Source organism: Homo sapiens, chromosome 1, assembly GCF_000001405.40.
Source record: "Homo sapiens chromosome 1, GRCh38.p14 Primary Assembly".
In the NCBI taxonomy this organism is placed as follows: domain Eukaryota; kingdom Metazoa; phylum Chordata; class Mammalia; order Primates; family Hominidae; genus Homo; species Homo sapiens.
The window spans coordinates 165,475,077-165,493,288 of NC_000001.11; the positions used below are offsets into that span (position 1 = coordinate 165,475,077).

The following is an 18,212-nucleotide window of genomic DNA, read 5'->3' on the forward strand; positions in this document are numbered from 1 at the left end:
ACTGAATGGGGAAAGCTAGACGGAGCAGGTGGGTGTGGAAGATCAGGAGTTCAGGTTGGATGTGTTGAGCTTAAGATGGCAGGTGATGGCTAAGTGGACCACCTGTTGAGGTGGCAGCCACTGAAGCCAGCTGCCATATGCTTGCCGATAACTGCCAGGTCAGAAAGCCAGTGCCTGCCTCCTTTGCCCAGTCCCCAGCGTGGACAGCACATGAGGGAGGCTGACTTCCCCACCTCATTTTGTAATCACTGGGAACCCAGCTGTCCAGGCCTCACTCCCTGGCCCACTCTCTATCCCCAAGGTAGCTCTGAAGGCTCTGTGGCTGATGGGAAGTATTTCAGAACAAGTCTAATGATGTCTGGGAAATCTCCAAGGATGGACTAAGTTCTTAATCTGCTCCTTGGATTGAACCCCCATCCAGGGATGCCTGCTCTAGGCCTTATGACAATAAAAACTTCAGACTCAGCCAACACTAACTGAGCACCTACTGCAGGCCAGGCACCCTGTGGGGCACTTTAACTTGTATCTTCCATTTGATTCTCATCACAACTATAGATATTGTTATCCCCTTTAGAAGACGAGGCAACTAAGACACAGAAAGAGTCAAACTTGCCCAGTGTCACAGAAACAGTAAGTATAGAGACTAATATTTGAACCAGTCTTTTCATTCCAATCCTGCTGGTGTCACCCCACATAATACTTTATAATTACTCATGCTTCAAGGTCCAATTCATGTCATACCTCCTCAGTGGAATCTCTATCCATCCCCAGGTCAAGTCTTCCCTGTTGCTGCATGCTGTGTACGCCTCTTCCATGGAACCTCTGACTTTGCTGGAACTGTTGTGACCTCTGTGTGTGCTCCTTCCCAATAGGTTACACCTTTCTTGAGAACAGAAGCCACATCTTTTATCCTTATTCTGATACTCTCTCATAATCTTTCTGCCCCATAAGTCAGTGTGTTTAATATGTTTATTAAAGCTATGATATTTAACACTTTTTGCACATTCACATAGAACATTATATTTGGGTCTCACCCAGTTTGGTAAGTATGAACCACATGGGTTACATTAGCCTCACTTACGGTTGAGAATATATACACTCAGAGAGACTGAAGAATTTGTCCAAGGTCATCCAGCTAGATGGTGTGTTGGGAACAACATTCCAAGCTTGTAACACCCAATGCAGTGCCCATTGCATGGTTAGATCAAGTTCTTGATGTACTGCTTGGATCCAGTCCCTTTCCACTGAAGTCTGCTCCAAGCCTTATGGCAGTAAAAATTTCAGACTCCTCCAATACTAATTGAGCACTGACTACATGCCAGGCACTTTGTGGCACTGGCCTAAAGCACCCTAATGCTTTTTGGCATATCCTAAGCACTGGCCGGAGCCTTCAAGGTGTGTCATCTCCTCCTTTTTCTATTTCCTTGGCTTCTCTTCCTTTGTCTCATTACCATATTCCCCTCTTCATCTCTGGCTTTTAACATGATGTCCTTTTCCTGCCCAGAGCTCCTAACCCTGAGCAAGGGGAGGTAAGCTCTGACCTGGAGAGTGGCTCTGGGGAGACAGGCCCCTGTAACACATCTGGAATACAGGGTCAGAGTTGAAGCTTCTTGTTTTGTTGTTGTTGTTTAATTTTTTCCCTAGGATATAGATCCTGAAGAGGCTTCTTGTTTTAATCACCTTGCATTCACCCTGTTGGTGTGGAAGGAATCCCCACCCTAGGTCATGGGATGGCAGAACAAATGACACCTGGCACTGAACAGATGAGATAGATAGTTTATTAGTCACATATGCTCACTGCCCAGAAGAGGAAGATACCATATGCTCCACAGGACCACATGGGAGTTGCACTAGGGAACAAGCAGGGGCTTTGTAGTATCGAGAGGGTGGGGTGCTTCTCAGTTCCCACAGGAGGAGGTGATTGGCTTGTTTGAAAAACTCCACAGGCTGGCAGGAAACTGAACACTGCTACTCAGGGATAAGCAGAAACTGTGCCTGGTCCCTTTGAAAAGGAGAGTTGTTTGACTAGAAGATGTTAGCTGCAGGAGTGGAGTAGAGAGGAGAACTTGCAGTTAGGTCATTTGAAGCCTTTCCAGTTGCACTAGATATCAAGGCAGCACGTAATATTAGGCCTTACCAAGCTATCTTGCCGTCACCAAGCTATCTTTATTTTTTAATAAATTTTTATTTTGGAATTATTTTTAACTTACAAAAAATTACAAATATAGTACAGAAAGTTCCTGTACATACTTCACTCAATTTCCCCTAACGCTAGCATCTTATATAACCATGGCTTCTTTATCACACTGGAAATTAGCATTGATATAATACTACTATTACATTACCAACATTATTTGGATTTTACAAGTTTTCCCACTAATGTTCTTTTTCTCTTCCAGGAATCACCTAGGGTACCATATTGCATTTTGTTTCCTTAGTTTCTGCTGGTCTGGGACGGTCTTTCAGTCTTTCTTTTTTATGACCTTGATACTTTTGAGGAGTACTGGTAAGATATTTTGTAGAATATCTCCCAATGTGAGTCTGTTGGATGGATTTGCATGCTTAGACTGAGGTTATGAGTTTTTAAAGATAATACCACAGAGGTGTGATGCTTCTCATCATCATAGCCAGGGTGTATGACATCACTAGTGATGCTAATCCCATTGCTTGTTTAAGATGATGTCTGCCAGAGTGCTCCATAAAGCTACTATTTGTCCCTTTCAATATTTTACTCTTTGAAAATAAATCACTAAGTCCAGCCTGCACTCAAGAGAAGAGGATTTAAGCTCCACTTTCTGAAGGAGGAATGGTCTACCTATACTATTGAAAACTCTTCTGTAAAAAATAATTGTCCCTGCCTCCCTCATTTATTTATTTATTCAATCACTTATTTAAGCCTGCATGGGCTAGTGAATATATAACATATATATATATATATATATATATATATATATATGTATATAGTTGTTGTTGTTATAATACAAGCCTATCATCATTTATTTTATTGCTTAAATTCTTCATGCTCTAGGTGGTGTAATTAGGTGTAATCTAGATATAAATTAGTACAACTACTATAGAACACAGTATGGAGATTCCTTAAAGAACTAAAAGATTACATAAAGAACTAAAAGTAGAACTACCATTCAATTAAGGAATCCTGCTACTGGGTTTCTACCCAAAGGAAAGTAAGTCATTATGTGAAAAAGACACACGCATGTGCATGTTTAAAGCAGCACAATTCACAATTGCAAAGATCTGGAACCAACCTAAGTACCCATCAACCAATGAATGAATAAAGAAAATGTGGTATGTATACACCATGGAATACTACTCAGCCATAAAAAGGAATGAAGTAATGTGTTGCAGCAACTATTCTAAGTGAAGTAACTCAAGAATGAAAAACCAAATTTCGTATGTCCTCACTTATAATTGGGAGCTAAGCTATGAGGATGCAAAGGCCTAAGAATGATATAATGGATTTGGGGGACTTGTGGGGGAAGGTTGAGAGGGGGTAAGAGACAGTGCACACATTGCTTGGATGATGAGTGCACTAACATCTCAGAAATCACCACTAAAGAACTTATCCATGTAACTAAAAACCACCTGTACCCCTAAAACTACTGAAATAACATTTAAAATTTCTTTTTTTTTAATTCTTCCAGCTCTGGCCATTGGGAACTCCTTCAGGTTGGCTTCTGTGTCCTTTTGATGTACCTTAATTTTTTGTTTCCTTAGAACTTCTTTGCTTTCCTTAGGGGTTCTAAAACTATAAGATGCTCCAGGCTTATCTTGTATTCCTGCTCCCCCTAGAATCTGCCATTTCTCCAAAGGACCCTAAGTTTCTTTTATCAGAGAACAATAATTAGAAACCAAAATCTGGCTTCTAGGCATGCTTATTGCTGCTGGGGTATCACTGCATTTAGGACCTCTCAGCAGACAGAGGTAGGAAATATATTCATGTGTACTAACCTACATATACACATATCTTTTTTTTTTTTTTTTTTTTTGAGACGGTGTCTTGCTCTGTCACCAGGCTGGAGTGCGGTGGCACAATCTCAGCTCACTGCAACTTCCACCTCCCGGGTTCAAGCGATTCTCCTGCCTCAGCCTCCCAAGTAGCTGGGACTACAGGCACCTGCCACCACACCCGGCTAATTTTTGTATTTTTAGTAGAGATGAGGTTTCACCATGTTGGCCAGGATGGTCTCGATCTCCTGACCTCATGATCCACCTGCCTCGGCCTCCCAAAGTCCTGGGATTACAGGCATAAGCCACCGTGCCCAGCCCATATACACATATCTATATGTCCTATATCTATCTGCCTACATATACTAAAATCAGTATGAGTTTATACCTCTGACTCTGACTCAGCAGCACAAGATTGAGTCTAGCTTTCCCATCTTGTTTATTTGTAACTTGTTATCAGTCTATCCATTTCTGTTTGCCTTTATTCTCCTTAATCTTCTACTAGTGTTCATTTTAACTTGATTTCAACTGTAAAAATCCTTTAGGGTTGGGCAGAGTTTCTTAAACTTGAGTGAACATCAGAATCCCCAGAGGGCTGGTTAAAATGAGGACTGCTGGGCCCAACCTCAGAGCTTCGCATTCAATAGGTCTAGGCTGGAGCCAAGTAATTTGCATTTCTAACATGTTCCCAGGTGATGCTGCTGGTCTGGAGACCTCATTTGGAGAACCTCTGATCTACAGAAACCCTGGACTAAGAGGCAAACCCCTTCTCAGTACTCTCATAGTCCTTTATACATATTTCCAATATCTCAGTCTATAAGAATGATTCAGTTGCATTTCTACTCCCCAGTAGACTATGAGCTCCTTGCAGGCTAGGATTGTGACTTTCTCATCTCTGTAGTGCCTGAACCTGGCAAAATGTCTGGCACACAGTAGGTTCATATTAAATATTTGTTGAATGAATAAGTACAAGTTTCACATGTGTACCCCATCTTTATTTCTGCTAAGCAGAAAGGAGTGCAGGAAAGGTCAGAGATGAAAAACTGAGATCCATTTGATCTCCTCATTGCCTTCCTCTTCCTCTGATGGCAGAGAGAGGAGAGAAAGAGAGCCAGCAAGGTTAGGATGGGGTCAGAGCCCACTGCCCCCACCTGTTTAAGAGCTTGAAGTTCTTAAACTTGCTCTTTAAAGCTTGAAGGCATTAACTTCAGTGAAACTTCAGGGATTTTAATATCAGAGCAAGTATCTAAGAGGGTATTTCTAACTTTGAAGCCACAAGAAGGAAAAAAATATATATATATAAATATATATTTTTATATATTAAATATATAATATATTTATATATATTTTAAGGTTCATATGGATGATTTTTATTACATATCAGAATTAACCTATTCTTTCTGTAGAAATGAAAGTGAGAGTCAATAGGTAACTATATTATATACCAATCTATTTTTGTCACAATTTATTTTATTTTATTTTTTTTTAATTATACTAAGTTCTGGGATACATATGCAGAACGTGCAGGTTTGTTACATAGGTATACACGTGCCATGGTGGTTTGCTGCACCCATCAACTCGTCATCTACATTAGGTATTTCTCCTAATACTGTCCCTCCCCTAGCCCTTCACCCCTCAACAGGCCCCAGTGTGTGTTTTTCCCCTCCCTGTGTCCATGTGTCCTCATTGTTCAACTCCCACTTATGAGTGAGAACATGCAATGTTTGGTTTTCTGTTCCTGTGTTAGTTTGCTGAGAGTGATGGTTTCCAGCTTCATCTATGTCCCTGCAAAGGATGTGCACTCATCCTTTTTATGGCTGCATAGTATTCCATGGTGCACATGTGCCACAACAAATAAACATGATAAAATCATATCTAGTTAATGTGGTGGTATATCTTACCTAAGCATTTATGTCTATAAAAATGAATTTATGTGATTATCTGCTTTACATTTTAGTATCAAAAGAAGTTATATGTATATTTTAAAATAAACCACACCTGTGGCTAAGCTTAGTGTCTGAAATGGTATCACCAGAGTAACTGGCAACACCTGTACTAGTGGCACACTGTGACTCCAGGTTTACATAACTCAGCGGACTCCTCAAGTTTCTGTAAAGCTAACTGCAAGCCTATACCTCTCAGAGAATAATATTTTTCTTAAAAGTTTCATTGCTTTCTTCAAAAAGTGTTTGAGCATGACTATGTGTAAAGCATTGGCCATGGAGGATACAGTATGATCCCTGTTCATGAGAAGCTAACATTCTAGATATTAGCTAATACTCTAGATTCAACAAGGAAAGTGATCACACCTTAAGAAACAAACGCAGGCCGGCGCAGTGGCTCACACCTGTAATTCCAGCACTTTGGGAGGCCATGGCCGGTGGATTGCCTGAGCCCAGGAGTTTGAGACCAGCCTGGGCAACATGGCGAAAACCTGTTTCTACTAAAAAATACAAAAAGTTAGCCAGGTGTGGTGGCACAATCCTGTAATCCCAGCTACTCTGGAGCCTGAGGCAGGAGAATCGCTTGAACTGGGAAGGCAGAGGTTGCAGTGAGCTGGGATCCCTCCAGCTGCACTCCAGCTGCACTCCAGCCTGGGTGACAGAGTGAGGAGAAAGAAAGAAAAAAGAAAGAAAGAAAGAAAGAAAGAGAGAGAGGAAGGAAGGAAGGAAGGAAGGAAGGAAGGAAGGAAGGAAGGAAAGAAGGAAAGGAAAGAGAGAGAAAGAAAGAAAGAGAAAGAGAGAGAGAAAGAAGAGAAGGAGAGAAAGAGAGACAGGAGGGAGGGAGGGAGGAAGGAAGGAAGGAAGGGAAGAAGGGAGGGAGGGGAGACAGGGGAGGGAGGGAGGGAGGAAGGAAGGAAAGAAGGAAAGAAGGAAGCAAGGAAGGAAGGGAAAGAAAGGAAAGAAAGAAAGAAAGAGAGAGAAAGAAAAGAAAAGAAAAAAAGAAAGAAAAGAAAGAGAGAGAGAAAGAAAGAAAGAAGGAAGGAAGGAAGGAAGGGAAGGAAGGAAGGTAGGGAAGGAAGGAACAATACTCCGAGTATATGAAAGAGGGCTATGATGTAACCGTTACTTTGATAAATATCAATGTTAGAAGAGGTCTGACATTGACTGACAAAGACCCAATGTCTCCAGACACCTGTGTTAAGTCCTAAGAAGAACGGGGAGGGAAAGTAGGGGAGGGGAAAGGAAGTGACTTGGGAAATGAGCAATAAAAGAGAGAAGAGTTTGGGCCCAAGATGCCTCTGGCTATGGTTATTTCTTGTGTTCCAAACAGCTGGCTGTGTGTTTGGAGTTCTGGATGACTCACCACGTAGGAGGAGTGCTGCGGGAAGAAAGGAGAAAAACCACAGAGGAGGGAAATCCCCTTCAGCATCCTTGGGGTGTGGCTGTGGCATTCTGTCTCAAGGCCTCACACAGGCCAGCTAACATCTCGGGCTTCAGTGCTTGGAAGCCATTTAGGGGTGATTTTAAGACTCTTCCAGAAACCCAGGGGCTCATCCAGAGAGGAAAGGGACTTCATTCAGCTTCCTTGCTTATAAACCTAAGCAACCATGGGTGAAGAATCCCTGCAAAGAAAGAAGAAATATATACTTGTCAAAATGGAGATGTTCGCTTGAGTCTTCCTACCAGGAAAAGAAGAGGAAGTTGGGGGGAAGGAAGAAGACTAGCTTTGAGCATAGAATTTCATACATTACAAACGGGGCTGCACTGCAAAACCACACAGCCCTGTGATTTAAGCTCCTCGTGTAGTCTCAGTGAGTTCCTGGGTCTTCTTATAGACTGATTTGTATCCCCCTGCCTAAATTCCTATATTGAATCTTAAACCCCAGTACCTCGGAATGTGACTATAGAGATAGGGCCTTTAAAGAGGTGATGAAGCTCAAATGAGGCTGTTGGGGTGGGCCCTAATCCAATGTGACTGGTGTCCTTATAAAAAGAAGAGATGAGGACACAAAAAGAGGCACGAGGAACAAGAGTGCACAGAGAGAGGACCCCATGCAGAGGCAGCAAGAGGACTGCCATCTGTAAGCCAAGCAGAGATGCCACAGAGGAAATCAACCTTGCTGGTACCTTGAGCTTGGACTCCCAGCCTCCAGAACTGTGAGAAAATTGATTTCTCATGTTTAAGCTGCCCATTGTGAAACTTTATCATGGCAACCCTAGCAGACAAAACACTGGGGAAAGAGCTCCCATACAATTTGAATGTGGTGTCCCGGGAGGGCCTCAACACATGCCAGCTAAATCACTGCTGTTTCATTCCTACATCACAACCTGACCTCAGACCATTACTACAAGATACTAACATTTGAGTTTTCCCACCTGCCAGACACTATATTAGGCTGCTTTCTCACATATTACCTCATTTAATTGTTAATGCAAACCTGAGGCTCAAAAGAGGTTAAGTAGTTTCCCCAAGTGTATTAGTCCATTCTCACAGTGCTATAAAGAACTATTTGAGATTGGGTAATTTATAAAGAAAAGAGGTTTAATTGATTCACTGTTCTGTAGGCTGTACAGGAAGTGTGGCTGGGAGGCCTCAGAAAACTTAATCATGGTGGTAAGCGAATGAGAAGCAAGCACGTCTTACCATGACAGAGCAGGAAAGAGAGAAAAAGGGGAGGTGCTACACACTTTCAAACAACCAGATCTTGTGAGAACTCAATCCCAGCACTTTGGGAGGCCGAGGTGGGTGGATCACAAACTCAAGAGATCGAGACCATTCTGGCCAACATGCTGAAATCCCATTTCTACTAAAAATACAAAAAAAATTATCTGGGTATGGTGGCACGCACCTGTAGTCCCAGCTACTCAGGAGGCTGAGGCAGGAGAACTGCTTGAACCTGGGAGACAGAGGTTGCAGTGAGCTGAGATCACACCACTGCACTCCAGCCTGGCAACAGAGCGAGACTCTATCTCAAAAAAAAAAGAACTCTATCACAAGACAGCACTAGCGGGATTGTGCTAAACCATTAGAAACCACCCCCATGATCCAATCACCTCCCACCAGGCCCCATCTCCAACACTGGGGTTCACAATTCAACATGAGATTTGTGTGGGGACAAAGAGCCAAGCCATGTCACCAAGATCATTGAGGTAGGGCATGCAGGACCCAAGGTAGAAGCCTAGGTCTGGTTCCAGGTCTGTGGTTCTCTCTCACACCAGGCCAGGGGTATCCATGGGAGTTGTTAAAGACCAGAGATGTTAAGGACTGCATGCCACTCTCACTTTCGAAAGTCAGCTCAGTCCTCCCAGCAATATAGTCACTGGGGTTTATAAGTCCTGTGACATAGAGAGGAAAAATATGTATTAAGTCCTAATTCTATCTTTACTGGACCTTTCAAGTCCAATTCTTAACTGACCACCAACACTATTTAGTAGCTAGTTATGAGGCATATATAACTCCAAAGATATTATTAAGGAATCACTTAAGAAAGTATTATTGCTTTCTGGATAATAGGCCACTTTGTTCTATTCAGCTCAGTTTGCTGAGGACAACTCTATCTGGAGCTCCTTGTCAATATCTATTTTTAATGGGATATATTTATAATTGGATGTATTTATAACCTCATTTTCATGGGCACTTGTTTTCTTTCCAGAATCACACAGGCATTTTAATAGATTGGCTAAGGCAGTAGAGAAGTGACTAGAAACAGTTTGGGCCTGATTGTCTGTGAAACCTGAGAATCCTCACTCCTCCAATGCTGGTGCCTGTGACACTTTGGGAAGACAGCAACTTCACCACTGTGCGCTGGTTCTGATTTCTATAAAAGACATACATCCTTCCTGGAAGGGACAGAGGACACCAGGGTGATTAAAAGTTTTAGTACATACTGAGAGGAAACTTCAGTGGAAATTCCTATGATTTAATTCAGTTTGGCAAACATTTATTATCCATCTATTACATGCTAAGCACAGATTCATTGACTGAGGTATGTTAATTTTAGCAAAATTATTGAACATAAGCATCAGAGCTGGAAGAAATCTTAAGAGATCATGTAGTCAGATACTCTCACTTTAGAGATGAAGAGCATGAAGTCCAGACAGGGGAAGTGGCTTGTCCAAGGTCAAATCATTGGTTCCTGGCAGGCAAGGAGCTAGAATCTTTCTGAATCCTAGCCCAGTGGTTCCAATATACTCTACAGCAGTAAGACCCTTATCAGAGTATCATGTCCAACTTAGTTCACCACATTGTGAAAACCATGTACACATCTGGAAGAGATCCATAAAAAATAACCGAAATTGCCACAGGATGGAAAATAGATTTTTTAATTAAGTAGCAAAGATTCCAGCTGAATATGAGGAAGCAGTTTTTGGCTACCAGGGTTATGAAATATCAAAATGAGCAAATCAAATGAAAGCACATCCAAAAATTTTCAAAAGGACAAAAGATAAGCATCTATTTTCGATTGTTGGAGGGTCACCTGCCCCCAAACAGGGTGCTGGAACAAATAATCTCTCAATTTTACCCAGCTCTATTCGAATTCATTTATGATTCTATGTGCCTTCTATAAGGCTTTTGCCAAACAAACTGCTGTTACTGCATCATCGATCTTATCATTTGTTGAAATTTCCTCTTAAAACCATTTCTTTGCCCTCTTGTTTTTGTTTTATTTTGTTTTGTTTCTTTTTTTTTTTTTTTTAATTTCGAAAAGACTTTGCAATGGGCTGAAGCAAAATCTGAGATATCTGAATTGTAAGATTTGGGGATTTTTTAAAAAATTGCCAGAGGTGACATGCTAAGAGATTAGACCCCTGACAGTAACCACAGGTCTAGGCCAGCAAAAGGTCAAGTCCAGAGTGAAGCTGGCTGACAGATACCATAGATACAGACAGGCAGGGGCCTGGAGATCAAAGCAGCATTATCAGCCACAGCAGAACTCTGACCTTAGAGCAGAATGGCCATTTGCTTTCAATACTTTTTACGTAATCTCCTAAATATAGGTCACTTGAAGTTTAAGAGACACGTCAGAAGCAGAATGGTGTCAGAGACTTGACAACCGTAGGGTTAGAGATGCTAGGACTACCTCGCAAGAGGTCATCCTGTTCATCTCCCTTTGCCTGCGAGGCCACATTAACACCCCCAAAATTGCCCTGGGTACATTCAGGAAGAAAGTTTGAAGCATTTAAGGGGCATCCAACACAATAATGAGATATCCTTCTGCATATCAAAAATGAGATAATGCTAAACCCCCACGTTATAAAGGGATCGGTCTCTACTCCTTTCTATTGTCTTTAAAGAGATCTTTAAAAGGCAACTCTGCAATGCTCCTAAATAAATGCCAACAACCACCTCCATCCCTCACTCAGACCCTCTTCAGTCCCTCTTCCCTACTCCTTCTGGGACCCATCTCAGTCTCTGTGTCTCACTGAGGTTGAACAACAACCAAATACATATTACTAGAGAATCGATCTCCCAAGGTATTGTTTCTCCCTCACAAAAACTAGAATAGGCCAACCAGCCTGCCCCTTGAACCCGTAACTATTGCTCTGTTGAGAATGAATCTTCATAGCTGTCAAATGTCAGAGTGACAGACCCTCACATCTCTGCTAAATGTCACTTGCTAAAAGTCAAGGCTGAAAGGATGTACATCATGACAGAGGCAAAGAGGAGCATATTCACCTCTTAGGCTTCCATATGTTCTTGGACACTTGCCTCCTCCTGGGCTTTGGTTTAGCTTTCTGTGTTCAAAGATTTTTGCAAAAGTACCGGATGTTAGAGAAGCAAATCAAACCTACCAAAAATCTCCAGATGCTAAATCCATTTGTTTCAAGGCTCCCCCAAAAGCTGTTGGGGAACTCACATGAAAACAGGTTCCTGTTCCAAAGAGTTGTGAGGTTTAATTCATTTCATCGGACTCAAGGCTCATCCTGAAACCCCACATCCTGTTGATGTCACTTACTTTTGTGCCAGAAGAGAGAAGATAGTTTAGACTTGATGAATTTTCCTTCCCTCGCAGCCTGTGCTGTGTTGAGTTTCTGCTTATGTTCACACCAGAAAAAAATGTTAAGAAAAAAGCTACTAGATTTTCCCTCGTTCCTCCCCCACTATACCCCAGTAAGAATTCTTTCTATATGAAGAATGTGTGTACAAGCATGCACATGTATGTTTACACACACACATACAAACACACACATGCACAACTCACAAATATTTGGCAGATACTCAAATCCTTCTCTTTAAAAGCAACTGAGCCACTTTCAAGAGACTCCAGAAAGCTGACTCCACAACCTCCAGGTAAACCTTGTTACTATTTACCTCTATGTGTTTTCCTGAATCCCCATGAAACTAGTCTCCTTGAGGGCAGGGATTCTGTCTTTATTTTAGATTCCTAACACCTGGCCCTGTGTCTATACATGATAGTCACCCAATAAATTATTTTTTGAATGAATGGAAATCTCTTCTTTATTCTGGAGACCATCCCTAGCTACTTTCCTAAATATCTTCAGGAGCATCTTTACCTCCATGGTGCCCAAGTCACACCTCTATATCTAGGAAAATCAGAACAGAAATTTCCAAAATAACATTAGGATGCTGTGTGGCTAGTTAGTATCAAAGCCAAATTCTTATCTAGCACTGTTATGCCATATCTCCAGTTTGAGTGTGCCATCTCTTTCCTGCAGGGACCTAGACTCATACATTCACCCCAGGCTCCTTCTAGCTGACCCAAAGTAAACAAACAAAAAAGTTTCCAGGAGGTGTTTTCAATTACATCTGCCTTGCATATAGTAAGCGTTCAATAAATATTAGATTAAATCATAAAATCATATTGTCAATAACCTCTATCACCTCCAGCTATAGGTAAGTAAATTATTTTCTCTGAATTTTAAAAGTTTGGGTTAGAACATGAGAGATTTTAAGAAATAAGAATCTTATTTTAAGTTGACAAGTCATTTCTTATTAGATCCATGGTTCTCAATGTTAGCTGCATAATAAAAAAGTATTAAGCCTGATGTACTTTTATAGTAGTAATCCTTCAGCCCATCCCCCCAAATTCTGATTTAATTAGTCTGAAGTGGATTCCAGGCACTGGCAATTTTTTTATAGCTCCCCAGGTGATTCTAAAGGGCATCTAGGGTTGCAAATCACCGTTCTTGGCAGAACCCAGCTTCTCCTTCCCAGGGGTGATAAATCTCTGCCTTAGCCATAATGAGGTTGCAAGGTGAAGAGAAGAGTGTATGGATTATTGGGAGAAAAGATACCCAAAGAAGTATTTTAAAAATATTTCCCTCTTAAACATAAATTTGTTGAATATGTAAAATGAAATAAAAATGCTAGAGCAATAAGGTCACAGCAAAAAAGTTCCCAGCTCAGAGCCCTCTTTTACAGTCAGGTGCAACAGTTCTCAACCAAGCTGCCTGTGAGACTCAGCTGAGGAACATTTGAAAATATTAGTGCTCTGGGTCCACTCCAGACCAATTCTATCAGAATCTCTGGGGTGGGGCCCAGGCATCAATGTATTTTTTTTTTAATTCCCCAGGTGAGTCTAATGTGGTCAGAGTTGGGGACCATTAGTCTGGATAAGGCAATTTTCTAAATATCTTGAAATTTGGATCATAGATTGTTCCTTTTCTTAATACAAGAAGACATTTAAATTTTTATACATGGACCTGAACACCTTGAAGTTTTGTCTATAAAATGTGATTAAATGGTATTTTGGGTAAGCCTGGCTATGAATTTTAATTGGAATGTGGCAAACAGGGTGAGCTGGATAAAAAATAGTAAGTTTCCATGGATGGTTGCTGACATGCAATGTAGACATTTAGTTGATAACCAGGTATCTTGTAGGGTAATGCTGGCACATGTCTGGATGTGCCCTTCACCCAAAATGATGTCTCTCTTGGACGCATGGCTCCCACATGAAGTGTTATGTAAAAAAATGTTTCTCTGGTAGAAACGTATCACCAGCTAAATATTCGTAGAGAGGGCCAGGCACGGTGGCTCATGCCTGTAATCCCAGCACTTTCGGATACTGAGGCAGGTGGATCACTTGAGGTCAGGAGTTCAAGACCAACCTGGCCAACATGGTGAAATCCAGTCTCTACTAAAAATACAAAAATTAGCTGGGCATGGTGGTGCAAGTCTGTGATCCCAGCTACTCGGAAGGCTGAGGCAAGAGAAGCGCTTGATCCCAGGAGTTGGAGGTTACAGTGAGCCGAGATCACACCACTGCACACCAGCCTGGGTGACAGAGTGAGACTCCATCTCAAAAAAAAAAAAAATGTAGAGAGTATTTTCCATTTTCCCATTAACAAGGTGAATCAAAGTAGTGTGCAAGGTTTCCAGAGGAGAAACAGAATTCAAGCATGCTAGGCTGACAATGGAGAAGCAGAAAAGGAGCCAGTGTTTGACTCAAAGGCCCAAGCATAATAAACATGTAGACTGGTCTGAAGATCATGCAGAAAGCATCAGTGTATTGGCCATTGAATCACTGTTTTCCTTAAAATGAAATCCATTTCTTAAAATTACTTTGTAAACTAACATTTTCAAGTATACTTTTAATTTATGGCAAAACCACAATAAAGAGAGGCAAGTTAGTGTGACATAAGGGCATTTATTAAGAGTCAGGTTTTGACACTAGCTACGTGACTTGGGCAACATTTTTTATCTCAATATCTGGGTTTCCATTTCTTCATATGTAAAATGAGTCTAGTTTGATTCTTCTCAACCTTGGTTGATCAGCAGAATCCCTAAGGAGGTGTTAAAACATACCACTTTCTGGGTATCTCTCCCAGATAGTATGATTTAACTGGTCTGGAATGGGGCCCAGGCATCAGTATTTCTAAAATATTTCCAAGTGAATCCAAAGTGGGCACAAGCTGAGAAGCATTGCACTGGATGAGCTCGATGCTCCTTTCAGCTCTCATCTTCCTTTGGCTCAGGAGTCTTCGCTTCTGGGAGTGTCTGAGCCATTGGAAAACTTAGTAACCAATGATGGATACATCCCACAACACTTGAGGCTCGTACTTTGCCTCTTAAGAGGGTCACCATTTCTTTTTTTAAAAAATGAATATATCTATCCATCAAGTTAAAAAATCTAAAGCAGCTTTAAAAATAGGTTTCGAAATATGCTGTGCCTCTGACATTTTGTACTGTCCTGAGAAGATACTCAATAGCCCTTCCCATAGTGTCACCAAAAGCTTTCTTTATTCCACTTCAACCCTTCCCTATGTCTTTCGGGCATTTAGGCCTTGGGCCCACATTTGTTTCACAGTTGAACTCGAAGTGCTGATTCTTATTTCAGTTTGGATTTGCTGCCAGGTCTCCCAGCCCAAGTTCAGTTTCCCATGGGCTGGCTGAACCACCAGTGTAAAACAGCAAGATAACATCCCAGAGCTGGAGCTCCTCCAGCCATGTTATGTCAGGAGAACCGAGTCCATGTTGGCCTCACAGGGTCACTGTGTTCTCACAGCCAGGAAGCCACCCTGGAAGCACATGGATGGATGGCTCCAGCATTTCATTTCAACGCCATCCAGTCTCTCATTCCAGCTGTCGAGAGCAAACCAAAGGGAGAAGAGAAAAAAAAAAGTCCAAAGAAGCACTAGTTCAAGGCCAGTTTCAGAAATCAAGTGTTTAAATAAAAGTTATCCAGACTGAAATTCTGGACTCTGATAAATTACAAAATTAAAACCAGAATAAAGGTAGGTAGCTCTGAACACTCTGGTCAGTAAGTTTCTGAGTTAATTGACCGAACTGTCCAGTTAATTGCTTCCACCCGCACTTCCTTTTGGTTATGGAGACAGTTTCTCTACAGAAACAATTGCTTTCCCACCTGAAGGTTAAAATAACAATGTAAAACTATACCTGGCAAAAAGTTTGATCTTTAGATCAAGGGATTAGATTGGTTTTAGTTAGGTAAATTTTATAGCCTGGAGAAAACTATTTTCAAATTGCTGCAATATTTTTGTAAACCCAAGATTTTCTCAGTATACGAAAGAGTTAGCAGGGCCACCCAGGTCTTTACATGGAGTTGGCCTGGAGTTTCTGCTTACCCACATAATCCTCATTTTCAAGATTAAAAATCATAGTAATAAGAACATTTCTTGAGTTTTGTCATTATTCATCATTAGATTCGTCTAGATCATGCCAGAAGTAGAAACAAAATAAGATAGAAACAGAGTGCTTAGGAAAAGATCAGGGACAGATTGAAACATGGCCCACTAAGCAGGTCAGCCAGTTACCCTGCTCTTAGGCTACTATGCCAGCTGTCGCCCACTACATCCTTACCCTGGTGCCACTCATCACCATGCCCAAGGAAAATGTCCAAAGGAAATCTCCAACCCTACAGAATAGTGAACGAGTACCCAGTTACCTTTAGGATTAACCTACCCTGATAACACAGAATGTGGAATTCCCCTAGAAATACTGAGGCCAAGAAGAGGCACCAGATCTCATTTGGGGAACACAGGCTGATGATTTTCCAAACTATTCGAGTGTTGGATGCCCACAGACGCTGTGCTATCTGCACCGTAAGGCTGTGTAGCTCACTGGTGAAGAACATAGGACTTAGAAGACTAATCTTGGTTCCATTCCCAAGTTCTACGTTCACTTGCAGGGAGATCTTAGACAAATTACACAAATTATTGAGCCTCAGTTTCTTCCTCTGTAAATGGAATATGGGGTTTGAGGCAATGCACAGCTGAAAAATAAGAGGGTCTTAAGAAATTATAGTTATCTTTACTATCCTTTATAATTACCTAGAATGATGAAACTATAACTGAATCCATTATGGGAAGGATTCTCAGAGCCATATTTTGTGGATTGGCTTAAGTTTTCAGTGAGTGCTTTCGGCATTTCAAATTGTACACCAAAGCAGGGCATGTGGTACAAAGCACTGGCATTGGCAAAGGCTAACATAGATATTGCCTGGGAAATGAGTAGGAGGCATAGCCATCGATGGCTCTTAAGCCTGATTCATACTAACCAGGGCAAGGCCAAGGTGGCTCCATTAAACACCTTCACTAAGGATATTTTCCAAGGAAACACTTTTATAACTTTCAGATACAAGCTAAAAGTGACATTGGGTTAAGGAAACGTCTTAAACAATTTTTCTTTTTTTGGAGATTGCTTTAGCAGTTAGATTGAATTTATGATTGGCACATCAGCTCTTTGCATATGAAAGCAAGAGCCTCTAACATGTTAGAATGGATTTAAAAAGTTATACTCCAGTATTTTAAAGTTTTTTTTTAAACATTCTATTGGTGATATGTGTAAGCCTCATAAGTTTTTGTTCCCTAGGCAAAACAAAGATGAACTCCAGGTCCTGACCAAATTAGCACTTACGTTCACCAAAAAATGGGGGTAGTAGTGTCACTTTCCTTAAAGGACTGAGCTGAGGCTTGTAAAGCATTTAGCAAAGCATTCAGCACAGCATAAATGCTCCCAGTCAAGGTTAACTGTTGTTGTCGTGGATGTGGGTTTGTTGCTGCTGTTATTCCATCATTCAACAGACCTGTACTAGACACAGTGAATTCCAAGAAGAATACACCAGCGGTCCAGTCCCTCAAGATGCTCAAAGCCTCCAGGGAGGGTTGGATGTACAAATGTGTTCTCATGCAAAGCAGTAACTTCTTTAAGGTCTGAACAAAGTGCTATAGGTACCCAGAGGGGAGCCAAGGATTACCTTCACAGAGGAGATCATCTTTTATGTGGGAACAAGTGTGAATTTGCCTAGCAAGGGAAAGGGTTTGCAAGGCAGAGAAAATAGCACATGCAGAAGCTTGACTTAATGAAAAGTCATAGTGAGCTTTGAGGAACACTGGTGAGTCCTGGGTTACTAAAGCAGAGGTCACCTGAGGAGTGCCAGGAGAAGTGCTGAGAGTTGCTGGGGGCCAGAATGTGAAAGATCTTACAGAGTAAGCTGAGGATTTGGCACCGATCCCACTAGCCACAGGCGTCAACAAATTTCATGGGGAAATAATGTGATTTGATTTATATTTTATGAAGATAAGTTTGGTGCCAACAGGGAAAGACAGAAACTGGAGTTTAAAAACACAGGAGGTGAGGCCTCTGGAGTGGAACAGCAGAAAGCCACTCACTGCTTGGTGGGGAGTAACAACCCCACTCACTTCACTGAACCCTCTATGCAGTGGCTGTGTTCAGAGTTGAGCGGCTGCCACTGGAGTCTCGTGGCCCCCTGCAGTCCATCTGAAGAGGAGAAGGCCTGAGGGATGAGAAACTGGACTTCAGCTGGCTGCTCAATACAGACACTACGCTGAAGAGAGCTGCAGTGTTTCAGAACAATGCCA

The 18,212-nt window shown here is 41.6% G+C and overlaps 1 long non-coding RNA gene across 1 annotated transcript in view, besides 1 other annotated feature; it reads right to left on the reverse strand.

Moving 5' to 3' along the window:
- Positions 1–1,765: 1,765 nt before the first annotated feature.
- LRRC52-AS1 (LRRC52 antisense RNA 1) overlaps positions 1,766–18,212 on the reverse strand; it is a 105,314-nt gene continuing 88,867 nt past the window's right edge. The window contains exons 6-7 of the long non-coding RNA NR_026744.2: positions 7,273–7,531; positions 1,766–2,039 (exon numbers count right to left, since the gene is read on the reverse strand). This is a non-coding gene — a long non-coding RNA (LRRC52 antisense RNA 1). The remainder of the gene's footprint in view (positions 2,040–7,272; positions 7,532–18,212) is intronic.
- Positions 1,949–2,170: a silencer, noted in NCBI's record as "fragment chr1:165446262-165446483 (GRCh37/hg19 assembly coordinates)". NCBI's record gives its function as "represses an EF-1alpha promoter that drives an FKBP-Casp9 reporter gene in an ReSE screen in K562 erythroleukemia cells {active_cell/tissue: K562}" and the evidence as "EXISTENCE:reporter gene assay evidence [ECO:0000049][PMID:32094911]".